General features: G+C 41.5%; 1 protein-coding gene across 171 annotated transcripts in view, besides 1 other annotated feature; it reads right to left on the reverse strand.

Annotated features, from left to right (window-relative positions):
- The window catches only part of PBRM1 (polybromo 1), a 140,547-nt gene that overhangs the window by 124,965 nt on the left and 776 nt on the right, over window positions 1-14,806 (reverse strand). For 52 of the 171 annotated variants that reach the window (NR_174502.1, NM_001405585.1, NM_001405555.1 and 49 more), the window contains exons 2-3: window positions 9,243-9,395; window positions 8,169-8,266 (exon numbers count right to left, since the gene is read on the reverse strand). Coding sequence is in view for 165 of the 171 variants with exons in the window: in NM_001405585.1 (NP_001392514.1) it covers window positions 8,169-8,266; window positions 9,243-9,380 (236 nt within the window). In the remaining 6 variants the exon portion in view is untranslated. Of the gene's footprint in view, window positions 1-8,168; window positions 8,267-9,242; window positions 9,396-10,528; window positions 10,596-11,363; window positions 11,490-11,760; window positions 14,584-14,806 lie in introns of all 171 variants that reach the window. The other 119 variants (NR_175959.1, NM_001405573.1, NM_001405572.1 and 116 more) reach the window with 19 other exon arrangements.
- Window positions 957-1,126: an enhancer, noted in NCBI's record as "active region_19944". NCBI's record gives its function as "activates an Ori minimal core promoter by ATAC-STARR-seq in GM12878 lymphoblastoid cells {active_cell/tissue: GM12878}" and the evidence as "EXISTENCE:reporter gene assay evidence [ECO:0000049][PMID:35858748]".

A 14,806-nucleotide genomic window follows, 5' to 3' on the forward strand; every position in this document is an offset into this window, starting at 1 on the left:
ACTAATTTTTTCTGAAATCAAACATACAGAAAACCATCAAAAGTAAGAATCATCCTTATAATCCAGAATAAATAGCACCATTTGCATTTTTATAGACATTCTTCCAGACTTCTCTATAGGCACATGTACACACAAACCAAATTTAACATAAACAGGATTATATTGTATGTTCTTTCAAAACAACTTTTCTCTTTCAACAATAGATGAGGGCAGTCTGGCATATGGCTGCAAAATAACCAAAATGCAAAGTTTTAATCAGAATAATGAGAAACACTAGCCCTGGTGTGCAGACAGCCTGCCGGCTACTCCCTACCCCATTTTCCCTTCTTCCCAGGATGACAGCATTCTAAGCTGCTGCATGGCTACTAAAGACTATATTCTCAGCCAGCATGGTGTTGCATGCCTGTAGTCCCAGCTACTTGGGAGGCTGAGGGAGGACTGCTTGAGCCCAGGAGGTCAAGGCTGTAGTGTGCAAAGATGGTGCTGGTGAGTAGCCTGCATTCCAGCCTATGTGACATGGTAAAACCTCGTCTCTAAGGAAAACAAAGCAAAACAAAACCTTAAAGACCATATTTATTCTCCAGCCTCACTGCAGCTAGATTCTAGCCAATACGAGAGCTGAAGTGTGTCATATCCAAGTCATGTCCTTAACATTCATTCTTTTTCCATACTGGCTGGAAGGCAGTTGTGGTAGTGAGTCATCTCAGACCATGCAGGCAAGGGTGATACCACAAAGACCGCAGAATAGAGTTGGCTAATACTTGTACCTTGACAACTTCACAGAACAGGACTTTTACACAAGAGAAATAAATTTCTCTTTTGTTTCAGCCATTGTTGATTTGCATGTCCTAGCACAAAGCAGACTAATACAGTAACTGAAACAAAGTATCAAAAAGATATTCACAAATTGTGTAGCTCTGAGCAATACTAATTCTCATAAATACTTGAGAAAAAAACATACATTCCACAGAGGAGCGTCAGAAAAAAGGCACCATTATCTTCGAGGTTGTAACATGACAGTGGTCCAGCACCCAAGGTGTGTATCCTCTGCCCCTCAGCACTCGCCTGCCAGCAAAAAGGAGGCAGCAGAGGGACGGTATCTTCTATAAAAGTTGTTTTGTATACTTCAGTGTGATGCTGCTACTCTATACCACATAATGGTTAAGAGCACAGGCTTTGGAGTCAGAACGACTTTAGTCTGAACACCAGTTATCTTTTAGTAGTTACAAGAACTTGTGCAAGTTCTCACCTATAAACTGTGATAACTCAGAATTTTAAATAAGATATGATTGGGAAAATGCTTGGTATTGTGTCTAGAATGTGGCAAACAATAAATACATGCTTTTACTACTTTATGCTAATTAAATGACAACTTTCAGAAGACTATTATTGATAAACCAACTCAAATATGGAGACAGTTACCTCATTTTAAAAACAATGCTTCCTTTTTGGCCATGGCTAATTTGCTAATTTACAGGGCTCTCCTAATTCAGGATGATGACACTGCATTCTCAGTGGCTTGCTCGTTGAGGTGAGAAATTTGCCTCCAGTTCAACTTAGAGCTTGGTAACTACCCACTGTAGCATCAACAATCATGAATGAATCTAAATCTTTAGTTAACTCACAGCTTTCTACAGCTGCTGTAACAAATTACCACAAACTTCAGGGCTTAAAACAAAACCCATTTATTATATTAGTTCTAGAGGTCAGAAGTCCAAAATGGGTCTCACTGGTCTAAAATCAAGGTATTAGCAGGGCTGCATGCCGTCTGGATGTTCTAGTACGGAGCATCTAGCGAAAAAGGTTTCCTTGCCTTTTTCAGCTTCTAGAGCTCACCTGCATCCCTTGGCTTGTAGTCTCCTTCCTCCATCTTCAAAGCCAGCACTACAGCATCTTCAAATCTCTGACTGAACTTGTCTCCCTCTTCCCCATTTAAGGACCCTTGTGATTACACTGGACCCACATGGATAATCCAGGATAACCGCTCCAATTCAAGATCAGCTGATTAGCAAACTTAATTCCCCTCTGCCATGTAACACAATATATTCACAGGTTTCAGGGATTAGAATGTGGAAATATTTGGGCACCAGTTTTCTGACTAACACACTCATATACGTTTTCAGAACAAATAACTTCAATTTCCAGAGGTTTTTTTTTGGCTTTTTTTTTTTTTTTTTTTTGAGTCAGAGTTTCACTCTTGTTGCCCAGGCTGGAGTGCAACAGCGTTATCTCCGCACACTGCAACCTCTGCCTCCTGGGTTCAAGTGATTCTCCTGCCTCAGCCTCCCGAGTAGCTGAGATTATAGGTGCACACCACCACGCCCGGCTAATTTTGTATTTTTAGTAGAGATGGGCTTTCTCCATGTTGGTCAGGCTGGTCTCGAACTCCTGCACTCAGGTGATCCACCTGTCTCGGCCTCCCAAAGTGTTGGGATTACAGGCATGAGCCACCACGCCTGGCCAATTGCCAGAGTTTTGAAGAGAATAGTGATTATATTTTGACAGCAAGAGAGGAAAGATGTTCTAGTTAGGGGAACATACCTTCCATAGGAAGTTGTGTGCAAGATGCCTCTCTGTGTAATTTAAAAAACTGATCCCTTTTAACTATCACTGTGACAACTTCAATACAGTCTTAAGAGCTATTAATTTTTTTTATTAATTTTTAATTTTTTTGAGACGGAGTTTTGCTCTTATTGTCCAGGCTGGAGTGCAATGGTGCAATCTCAGCTCACTGCAACCTCCGCCTCCCGGGTTCAAGCAATTCTCCCACCTCAGCCTCCCAAGTGGCTGGGATTACAGGCACCCACCACCACGCCCGGCTAATTTTTGCATTTTTAGTAGAGACAGGGTTTCACTATGTTGGCCAGGCTGGTCTCGAACTCCTGACCTCAAGTGATCCACCCGCCTCAGCCTCCCAAAGTGATGGGATTACAGGCATGAGCCACCGCGCCCAGCCATAAGAACTATTAATTTTTATACTGCCTATGTGAACCAGGTGTTAAAAAACAAAATGAAACAAAAAAATTAAATAATTTAAAAAACATGCTTCACTCTCGGCCAGGTGCAGTGGCTCATGCCTGTAATCCCAGCACTTTGGGAGGCTGAGGCGGGTGGATCACCTGAGGTCAGGAGTTCGAGACCTGCCTGGCCAATATGGCAAAACTCCGTCTCTACTAAAAGTACAAAAAAAATTAGCCAGGCATAGTGGTGTATGCCTGTAATCCCAGCTACTCGGGAGGCTGAGGCAGGACAATTGCTTGAACCCAGGAGGTGGAAGTTGCAGTGAGCCAAGACTGTGCCACTGCACTCCAGCCTGGGCAACAGAGTGGGACTCCATCTCAAAAAAAAAAAAAAAAAAAAAGCTTCTTTCTCAAGGAATTAGAGAAAAGAAGAGCAAACTAAACCCAAAGCTAGCAGTAGATAATAAATAGAAAGGAGGGCCAGTGCAGTAGTTCATGCCTATAATCCCAGCACTTTGGGAGGATGAGGTGGACAGATCACTTGAGGTCAAGAGTTTAAGACCAGCCTGGGCAACAAAGTGAAACCCTATCTCTACTAAAAATACAAAAATTAGCCAGGCATGGTGGCACACGCCTGTAATCCCAGCTACTTGGGAGGCTGAAGCATAAGAATCACTTGAACCTGGAAGGCAGAGGCTGCAATAAGCCATGATCACGCCACTGCACTCCAGCCTGGGCAACAGAGCAAGACACTGTCTCAAAAAAAAAATATATATATAGATATATATATAGAATGCAGATAAACGAAATTAGAGAATAGAAAAACAATTTTAAAAATTAAACAGTTGGTTTTTTTAAAAGATCAACAAAATTGGTAAACACTTAGCTAGATTAACTAAGAAAGAAAGAGCTGAGCACGGTGGCTCACGCCTGTAATGCCAGCACTTTGGAAGGCCAAGGTAGGCGGATCACCTAAGGTCGGGAGTTTGAGACCAGCCTGACCAACATAGAGAAACCCTGTCTCTACTAAAAATACAAAATTAGCTGGGCGTGGTGGCCCATGCCTGTAATCCCAGCTACTCGGGAAGCTGGGGCAGGAGAATCGCTTGAACCTGGGAAACGGAGGTTGTGGTGAGCCACAATCGAGATCGCACCACTGCACTCCAGCCTGGTGCGAAACTCCATCTCAAAAAAAAAAAAAAAAAAGAGAGAGAGAGGCTGGGTGTGGTGGCTCACACTTGTGATCCTAGCACTTCGGGAGGCCAAGGTAGGAGGATCACTTGAGCCCAGGAGTTTGAGACCAGCCTGGGCAACACAGGGAAACCCTGTCTCTACCAAAAAAAAAAAAAAAAATATATATATATATATATATATACACACACACACACACATATATCTCCTTACCTAACATTACATACGTTATTTTTTAATATGTATGTAGCGTTAGGTAAGAATCCAGCATATTTTTACATATATAAATAAAAAATACGTTATATATACAATATATATATTTTATGTGTTTACTATATACATACACACGTATATATAACATATATATTAGCCAGGTATGGTAGCATCAGGTGAGAGGACTGCTTGAGTCCGGGAGGTTGAGTCTGCACTGAACTGTGATTGCCACTGCACTCCAGCCTGGGTGCCAAAGCAAGATCCTGTCTCAAAAAAAGACAGAAAGGAGGAGGGAGGGAGGGAAGAAGTAAGGGAGAAAAGAGATGCAAATAACTAAAATCATAAAGAGGAGACATTACAACCAATGCCACAAAAATAAAAAGGATTATGAGAGTTCTAGGAAAACATGTATGCCAACAAATTAGATAAACTAGAAGAAATGGATAATTTCCTAGAAACACACAACCTACTAAAGACATACAAAGCCTGAGTAAACCTATAACTAGTAAGGAGACTGAATCAGTAATAAAAAATCTCCCACAAAGAAAATCCCTAGACTGATAGCTTCACTGATGAATTCTAACCAGACATTTCAAGAACTAACACACCAAGCCTTATGAAACTTTTCCAAAAAATTGAAGAGGCGAGGTCACGTCCTAACTTATTCTATGAAGCTAGCATTACTCTGATACCAAAGCCAGACAAAGATACTACAAGAAAACTACTGATCAATATCCCTTATGAATACTGATGCAAAATTTCTCAATAAAATATTAGCAAACTGAATTCAGCAGGATATTAAAAGGATTATATACCATAACCAGGTGGGATTTATTCCACAGTGAACAAGGTGTTGAAGTGGTGAAAGTGGGCATCTCTGTCTTGTTCGTGATCTTAGAGGAAAAGCTTTAAGTATTTTGCCACTGAATATGTTGTTCACAGTAATCAAAATGTGTGCTACTGGTATAAAAACAGACACAGGGACCAATGGAATAGAATGGAGCCTAGAAACGACCCTCACATACACGGTCAAGCAAATTTTGACAAAGGCGCCAAAACCATTCAATGAGAAAAGCACAGTCTTTTCAACAAACGATACCGGGAAAACTGGATACACACATATAAAGAATGAAGCGGGGGCCGGGCGCGGTGGCTCACGCCTGTAATCCCAGCACTTTGGGAGGCCGAGGCGGGCGGATCACGAGGTCAGGAGATCGAGACCATCCCGGCTAAAATGGTGAAACCCCGTCTCTACTAAAAATACAAAAAATTAGCCGGGCGTAGTGGCGGGCGCCTGTAGTCCCAGCTACTTGGGAGGCTGAGGCGGGAGAATGGCGTGAACCCGGGAGGCGGAGCTTGCAGTGAGCCGAGATCCCGCCACTGCACTCCAGCCTGGGCGACAGAGCGAGACTCCGTCTCAAAAAAAAAAAAAAAAAAAAAAAAAAAAAAAAAAAAAATAATGAATGAAGCGGGATCCTTACCTAAACACTACTTATAAAAATTCAAAATGGATCAAAGGCCTAAATGTAAGAGCTAAAACTATAAAACTCTTAGAGGAAAACCAATACAGTTTGGCTGTATCCCCATTCAAATCTCAGCTTGAATTGTTATCTCCTAGAATTCCCACATGTTGTGGGAGGGACCCAGAGGGAGGTAACTGAATCATGGAGGCCAGTCTTTCCCGTGCTATTCTCGTGATAGTGATTAAGTTGCATGAGATCTGATGGGTTTATTAGGGGTTCCCACTTTTGCTTCTTGCTTATTTTTCTCTTGCCACTGATGTAAGAAGTGCCTTTCACCTCCCACCATGATTCTGAGGCCTCCCCAGCCATATGGAACTGTAAGTTCAGTTAAACCTCTTTTTCTTCCCAGTCTCGGGTATGTCTTTATCAGCAGTGTGAAAACCAACTGATACAGTAAATTGATACCAGTAGAGTTGGGCGCTGCTGAAAAGATACCCGAAAATGTGGAAGCGACTTTGGAACTGGATAACAGGCAGAGGATGCAACAGTTTGGAGGGCTCAGAAGAAGACAGGAAAATGTGGGAGTTTGGAACTTCCTAGAGACTTGAATGGCTTTGACCAAAAGCCTGATAACAATACGGACAATAAGGTCCAGGCTGAGGTGGTCTCAGATGGAGATGAGGAACTTGCTGGGAATTGGAGTAAAGGTGACTTTTGTTATGTTTTAGCAAAGAGACTGGGGCATTTCGCCCCTGCTCTAGAGATCTGTGGAAGTTTGAACTTGAGAAAGATGATTTAGGGTATCTGGCAGAAGAAACTTCTAAGCAGCAAAGCATTCAAGAGGTGAGTTGGGTACTGTTTAAGGCATTCAGTTTTATAAGGGAAGCAGAGCATAAAAGTTTGGAAAATTTGCAGCCTAGTCCTGTCCAAGAGAACCCTGATTAATACAAAAACATAGGGGAAAAGCTTCATGATATTGGATTTGGCATTAATTTCATGGATATGACACCAAAGGCACAGGCAACAAGAGAAAAAGACAACATAAACTTCATGAAAATTAAAACCTTTTGTACATCTAAGGACACCGTACAAAATGAAAAGGCAACCTACAGAATGGCTCTATCACCCAGGCTGGAATACAGTGGCGGGATCTCAGCTCACTGCAACCTCTGCCTCCCAGGTTCAAGCAATTCTCCTGCCTCAGCCTCCCAAGTAGCTGGGATTACAGGCGCCCCACCACCATGCTCGGCTTTTTTTTTTTTTTTTTTTTTGAGATGGAGTTTCACTCTTGTCACCAAGGCTGGAGTGCAACGGTACGATCTCGGCTCACTGCAACCTCCACCTCCCGGGTTCAAGTGATTCTCCTGCCTCAGTCTCCCAAGTAGCTGGGATTACAGGCGCCCACCACCAAGCCTGGCTAATTTTTGTATTTTTAGTAGAGACGGGGTTTCACCACGTTGGCCAGGCTGGTCTCAAACTGCTGACCTCAGCTGATCCACCCGCCTTCGCCTCCCAAAGTGCTAGGATTACAGGAATGAGCCATTGCGCCCAGCCTTGCACCTGGCTAATTTTTGTATTTTTTAGTAGAGACAGGGTTTTGCCATGTTGGCCAGGCTGGTCTCGAACTCCTGGCCTCAGGTGATTTGCCCACCTATAGACCTCCCAAAGTGGTGGGATTACAGGCGTGAGCCACTGTGCCTGGTCAGTACTCTTTTTTAAATATTTATTTTTAGGCAAGCTCTTGCTCCATCACCCAGGTTGGAGTGCAGTGACACTCATGGCTTACTGCAGCCTCAAATTCCCAGGCTCAAACAATCCTACCACCCCAGCCTCCCTAGTAGCTGGGTCTATAGGTGAGCACCACCACACCTGGCTAATTTTTCAAAAAATTTTTTGTAGAGATGGGTCTCACTATGTTGCCCAGGCTGGTCTCAAATTCTTGGCCTCAAGAGATCTTTCCGCATAGGTCATTTTTTTTGTTTTTGTTTTTAAGAGACGGGGTCTCATTATGTTGCCCAGGCTGGTGTCATACTCCTTGGATCAAGCAATTCTCTTGCCTTAGTCTCCCATGTAGCTGGGATTACAAGTGCATGCTCCTGTGCCTGGCTCAAAAAATCAAGTAGCTGGGATTATAGGTGCATGTTACTGTGCCTGGCTCAACAGATTTTTAATTTAAAAAAAGCTTCACTACAGCTTGATTACTAAAGACTAAAGACTAAAATTGGACCCCAGTATCATTTAAGCCATTCCTGCCAACAAAAAGCTCAATTTCCAAACACTTTAATACACATGGACTCTGGACCAAATCCCCCGCAACTGTACTGATGTGCTTCGAACTCACCTTCGCTTTGGTGCCCTAATGAAGAGCTCACAGAGAAGTCTGCCCTGTTCATCCTTATAGTCTCGGATGGTATTATAGAGTTCATGGCACACGGCAATCTACACATTAGCAAAGGAGAAAAAAATCACTAAAAAAGTGAACAGAAAGCCAGTGTAGACATAAGAATTATTTTCTACTCTTCAATAAAAGGCAAGTAGAGAAGAAAAATGATGACTCTCAATATTACCAAACATGCTAAAGTCTGAAATATGCTGACAATATGTCTCCTTTCAAACAACTGAGTTGACTAACTTTTTGGTATCTTTCATCAGATTTATGCTCCTGGTGATTTTGTCTTCTAAACTATATCAGTTCATCACTTTCTTGCTTAAAGTCATCCAATTGAAGGGTTTTCTTCTTTGAAACTAAATCAGTTTATCACTCTCTTGCTTAAAGCCATCTGACAGAAGGGTTTATCACTTCACAGAGAATAAAATCTAAACTCCAAACATTGCTTGTGTGGGCCCTACATACTCTGAATGGGTGGAGCTTGCCAGTTTCCTTCTCCTTCCTGACCATCCCCTGCTCTGTAACCAAGACACACAAAACTCATCCCTGACCCAACCCCTCTGCACTGGTTCTGTCTGGAACTCTCTTCCAGCGAATTCAGGCCAAAACAGCCCAAATCACCCAAAATTTTCTTCTTAGCACTTATTACTAGCTAAGGATACATTATTCTTTATTCGTTTACTTGTTTACATTCTACTTCCCCCGCCTGGAATCTAAGTTCCATGTGAAAAATGGGCTTGTTTCCACATGGCTATATCCCAACCATGAGAACAGTGCTTGTCACATGATAGTCACACAGTTATTTGCTGAATTAATATATGATGTAACATACTGAAATTATTCATAAGATCACACTATTACTCTAAGACTTAGCTGAATACATAATGTTCATAAAAGAAAAGACTATTAATCAAGAGAATCTTAAAAAAGTGGAGATGCCTTGCATCGTAACAATTTTACCATTAAAGGGAAGATAGGGGAATTGTGGGAAGAGCAGGCAGAAACCATGTAATCCAAGTTACTCACAGGATCTACAGTTGGAAGATTGGAAAGTCTCCTCCTTTTCCTGCTTGGGCCTGGTGTTGACACAGAATGGTGCCCATCATCAAAGTCCCCGCTGACACTGCTGGAAGGGGAGGTAGCTCTTCTTCTCTTGGAACCCATGGAATCCAACTTCTTCTATAAGAAATAATCAGCCATGTTCTTACATTTAAATAGACTCTGTCACCAAGTCTTCAGCTGGACACCTGCTACCAAACTCCTGGCTCACTTAGGAGGATATTTTAACGTGTTGTAGTTTAACTAGCTATAAGTTTTTTTTTTTTTTTAAGCCCTGGACTTCCTTGTTTTAGTCTTTCACTTACCAGAATGCTATACTTCCAATTTTGATGGGACAAATTCAACAAAAGCATATTCATTTGTATATCAGCAATCTTGAATGACTCAACTTCTGGCTCCAAATTTGGCCTAGAGTTTCCCAACCTATATGTAGCAGTACATTAGTGTGCTGAAGGTATTAAGCCTTCAGCCCATGAGGCAGTCAGGCAGGCCTGGGGTACAGAGGCCCCAAGGTATCCACCTCTGGAGTCAGCACCTCATCTGCTTCTCTATGTGCCTTACAATTATGATCATTTGCTAGGTGGGCCATCATGTGGAAAAGAGCAAGAAGCAGAGCCCAGGACAAATGAGTAGTGCAAAAAGGTAAGGGGACAGAGGACAATTAACCTTCTAGCACTTTAGATGTACTCTAAAATTAAAACCCTGAAAATGAATGTTCTCCATTCATTAAAACAGGATCCACAAGACATATCCCTGGAAAACACTTAATGAGACTTGCTATACCTAGACAGAGGTACAAACTATCCTTTGAAACTCTTCTGTTAATTCAAACTAATCACCTTTTAGTGATATGACATACTCTAACTATAACACGTACTCTATTTAACTATAACAATTTTAACTATAACTCTATTTACAACACAAGAAATGCAACCACTGAATGATCTGCTACAGATAGTATATACCCAAGAAAGTCCTGCAATGCTTATATTGCAATACAATCTAACAATACTATCAAATAGTATATTGTGATTTGAAAGGCCTTTTTCTTTCTTTCTTTCTTTCTTTTTTAGGTGGAGTCTCGCTCTGTCACCAGGCTGGAGTACAGTGGCACGATCTCTGCTCACTGCAACCTCCCTCCACCTCCCAGTTTCAAGCGATTCTCCTGCCTCAGCCTCCAGAGTATCTGGGACTAAGGCGTGTGCCATCACACCCAGCTAATTTTTGTATTTTTAGTAGAGACGGGGTTTCACCATGTTGGCTAGGATGGTCCCAATCTCTTGACCTCGTGATCCGCCCGTCAAAGGCCTTTTTCTAAAGCTAAAAGAAAAAAAAAGATCCCAGTTTCACTCATCAACACTGAAGGTATTGATCCTTCAGCCCCTGAGGTAGTCAGGCAGGCCTGGGGTTCAGAGGCCCCAAGGTATTCACTTCTTGAGTCAGCACCTCATCTGCTTTTCCATGTGCCTTACAATTATGAGGAACCTCATAGAACTAGAGTACCTCATAATTGTAAGGCACATGGAAACACTGAATTTCAGGACACTACGACACCAGCAGCTGAATGATTAGAACAGGAGAACACTGGTTGCCAGCAGTATGGAAAGAAAGGTTGGGGATCTCCAGGAAACAGAAAGAAGGAGCAAAAGAATCACATTTGAAAATCCTGGTGAGCAATTAAGGAAAAAGAGAAGTCTCAGATCTCTTTTTCCAAACTAAAGTCCACATGGTGTTTAAAACAAAATCTACCACGATGATGTTCCTTACTCTAGGCTTCGGTTTGTTATACAGTATTATTAGTTTGAAGTTGGCTAAAAGTAGTTAAAATCGTCAAAAGGCTTAGCCAAAACTTAGCCAAGTTTTGCTGATTTTTGTTCATTTTATAAAAAGCTGATCAACAGGACTCAATTCATTAAGATAAATTAAGGACCAATCCCTTTTAAACAATCTATGACAAAGACACAAGTGAATTTGATGAACATAAGGAGGGAATCTTTGTGGAAAGGATAACAAAAATTTAAGAAAGGTGGAAGGAAAAAGTCAAGGAAGGACAGAAAAGGGAAAGGGTGTAGATAATCAGTAATTTACCAGCTTTACCAGAGCACAACCAGCGCCTCGAAAAGCCAGTCTCCTCATTATGTCTGAAAGCCAAGTGAAGCCAGTGGGAGAAGGAAGGGCTTTAGAAGTGCTGATTCAGTGTTAGTATATTCAAAACTGAAAAAGAAGAACAAGGCAGAGAAGGGGGAAATAGAAAAGAAGGGTCAGAAGGAGTAAAAATGAGTACGAATAGATAGAAAACATTCAAATAGAACTGCTAAAGAAAGATAAAGAGAACTGGAGAAAACAGGCATATCAGTTCTCTTGTACCTATCAAACAAACTGCTGCAAAGGCTCAGGCACTAACAGTACCTGACAGTTCTTCCATTTTAAAACCAAATGCTTTCATATGTTTAAAGATGTCTCATTGAGGTTCCCCTTTACTCACATTAGGAATGACTGTCAATTCCAGGAATGAGGCATGCCTGCCCAACTGCCCCCTAGTCAATAAGAGCAGAGTTCAATCACAGAGCTGGAATGGAGAGTGAATACATGTGGGAGGCTCACATGTGACACCAAGTGTTGGCAAGCTGGAACAAACCAAGAATGGCTCATGTGAGCAAAAGGTCTGGAAAACACCCTCCCCCACAAAAAAAAAATTCAGAGAAAGAACATTTATTTCCAAAAGTCCTATCTGCATTGGAGACACCATATAAAAATTTGACAAGGTTAAAAAAAAAAAAAAAAGGGCCAACCATTTTGGCAGGAGTTCAAAATTACTTTTATAAATAATCCACTGAAAATCAAATGACAAAAAAATACATTATCAGCATGTGTATGTCGTTCGGATGACACAATATCCCAATATCCTTGAATCATTAATTTACTTTGGTAAGATAAGAAAAAGTTTCAACTTAAGGATAATTTTCAAGTATTTTCTTATCCATGGGACACATTTTAAAATGTATTTTGAAAGTCTGACAAGAAGGGCAATGTTATAAGGTGGGAGAAACAACAGGACCTTTGCTCCTAAGACCAGAATAGGAGTCCTAAGTCTTCCACCTCTGATTATCAGCTTGATGTTGTCTGATTAGTTGATGTAACCTCTCAGATCTGTTTCATCTCTAAAATAAGAACGTAATGCCGGGAGTGGTGGGTCATGCCTGTAATCCCAGCACTTTGGAAGGCCGAGGCCAGTGCATCACTTGGAGTTCGAGACCAGACTGGCCAACGTGGTGAAACCCTGTCTCTACTAAAGAAAAATACAAAAATTTAGCTGGGTGCGGTGGCTCATGTCTGTAATCCCAGCGCTTTGGGAGGCTAAGGCGGATGGATCACCTGAGGTCAGGAGATCAAGACCATCCTGGCTAACACGGTGAAACCCCGTCTCCACTAAAAATACAAAAAAAATTGGCTGGGCTTGGTGGCACGCACCTGTAATCCCAGCTACTTGGGAGACTGAGGCAGGAGAATCGCTTGAACCCGGGAGGCGGAGGTTGCAGTGAGCCGAGATGGCACCACTGCACTCCACCCTGGACGTCAGAGCAAGACTCTGTCTCAAAAAAATAATAAAAAAAAAAATTAGCTGGCTGAGGCAGTGCATGCCTGTAAACCCAGTTACTTGGGAGGCTGAAGCATGAGAATTGCTTGAACCCAGGAGGCAGAGGTTGCAGCAAGCCGAGATCATACCACTGCACTCCAGTCTGGGTGACAGAGCGAGACCGTCTCAAGAAAAAAAAAAAAACAACATAAAGTGAAATCACTTCTGCATGTTCCCCAGGCACAGGAACAGCATATTCATTTTTGTAGACCTGTCTTACAGGATAGTATTTGGTATAGGTTATGTGCTCAGTTTATCTTTTAATAAATGTATTAAAAGTGCACTTAGGGCCAGGCACAGTGGCTCATGCCTGTAATCCCAGCAATTTAGGAGGCTGAGGTGGGCAGATCACCTGAGGTCAGGAGTTCAAGACCAGCCTGGCCAACACGGTGAAACCCCGTCTCTATCAAAAATACAAAAAATTATCTAGGCAAGGTGGTGGCATGCACCTGTAATCCCAGGCACTCGAGAGGGTGAGGCACGAGAATTGCTTGAACCAGAGAGGCAGAGATTGCAGTGAGCTGGGATTGCGCCACTGCACTCCAGGCTGGGGGACAGAGTAAGACTGTCTCCAAAAAAAACAAAAAAAAAGTGCACTTGAGACCTTCAAAAAAAAAAGTTTATTTGTATAGTTTAAAAGTCCTCAGCCAGGCACAGGGGCTCATATCTGTAGTCCCAGCACTTGGAGAGGCTGAGGCAGGATGACCGCTTGAGGCAGAGAGTTCAAGACCAGACTGGATAACATAGATTGATCTTTTCTCTACAAAAATTAAAATTAGCTGGGTGTGGTGCTGCACATCAGTAATCCCAGCTACTTGGGATGCTGAGGTGAGAGGACTGCTTGAGCCTAGGAGCACAAGGCTTCAGTGAGCCATGATCACTTTACTGAACTCCAGCCTGGGCAACAAAGTCAGACCTTGTCTCAAAAAAAAAAAAAAAAAAAAAAAAAAAATGCCTGTAAGCATCCCTTCAGCAATTTTGTCTTTCCATGAAGAGGAAAGACAGATTCCAGAGTTCAATGCCAAGTTTTAAAATGGCCTTGATTACAGTTACAAGTTCAAAAGTCTAACAATCAATAATTTATAGTGGACAGTTAAGAATACTTAATAATGTGCAACTGGGAGAATATCGACTTACTATAGACAAACAGTGTATTTCGACCGTTTATGAACTTTAGCCCTCTCCTATATTTCTAGTAATATTTAGCAATACAATACATGTTTAAAACAAAATCTTGGAAAACAGGACTCAAAGGAAAAAAAACACCTATAAACCTACTTCCAAGAAAAAAACCACTCTTAACGTTGTCATTCGGTTTTTGGTATTTATGCCTTAGTTACCTATTATTTTTTACCAAAATGTTAACAAACCACATATATTATTCTACAGCCTGTGTTTTAGTGAAGGTTCTTCCAAGTCAACATTCTTCCTCATGATGTTTGATGACTTGATAGTAATCTATCATATAGATACACCACAATTTACTTATCTTGGGAATTTTGGTAGGATATTAACATTTGAGGTATTTTGTACATTCCCAAAGCCAAAGAAAGCGGTCAAGGCCCTTCCATTCATCCACACATAAACTCTTTATTGTTTTAATTTGAAACACCTCTTCAAAACATATTTTCCAATCTTCCATTTTGGAGCTCAAAATCAAATATGGGCGACCTGTAAGTAATAAAGCAAAAATTATGCTACTCTTTTATGTGCATGAGTCCAATTTGCACTTTTTGGGGAAAAGCACATAGCCAAATGGAGAAAAAAATAATACCTAAAATTATTTGTCAAGAATCCTGTGTTGGAAAGTAAGTTAATTAAAACAATTCACCCCAACATACGCTTCTATAATTATTGTAAGAATTTCTATATCCACTATACCGTGTACTTATTT

This window comes from Homo sapiens, chromosome 3 (genome assembly GCF_000001405.40).
Source record: "Homo sapiens chromosome 3, GRCh38.p14 Primary Assembly".
In the NCBI taxonomy this organism is placed as follows: Eukaryota; Metazoa; Chordata; class Mammalia; order Primates; family Hominidae; genus Homo; species Homo sapiens.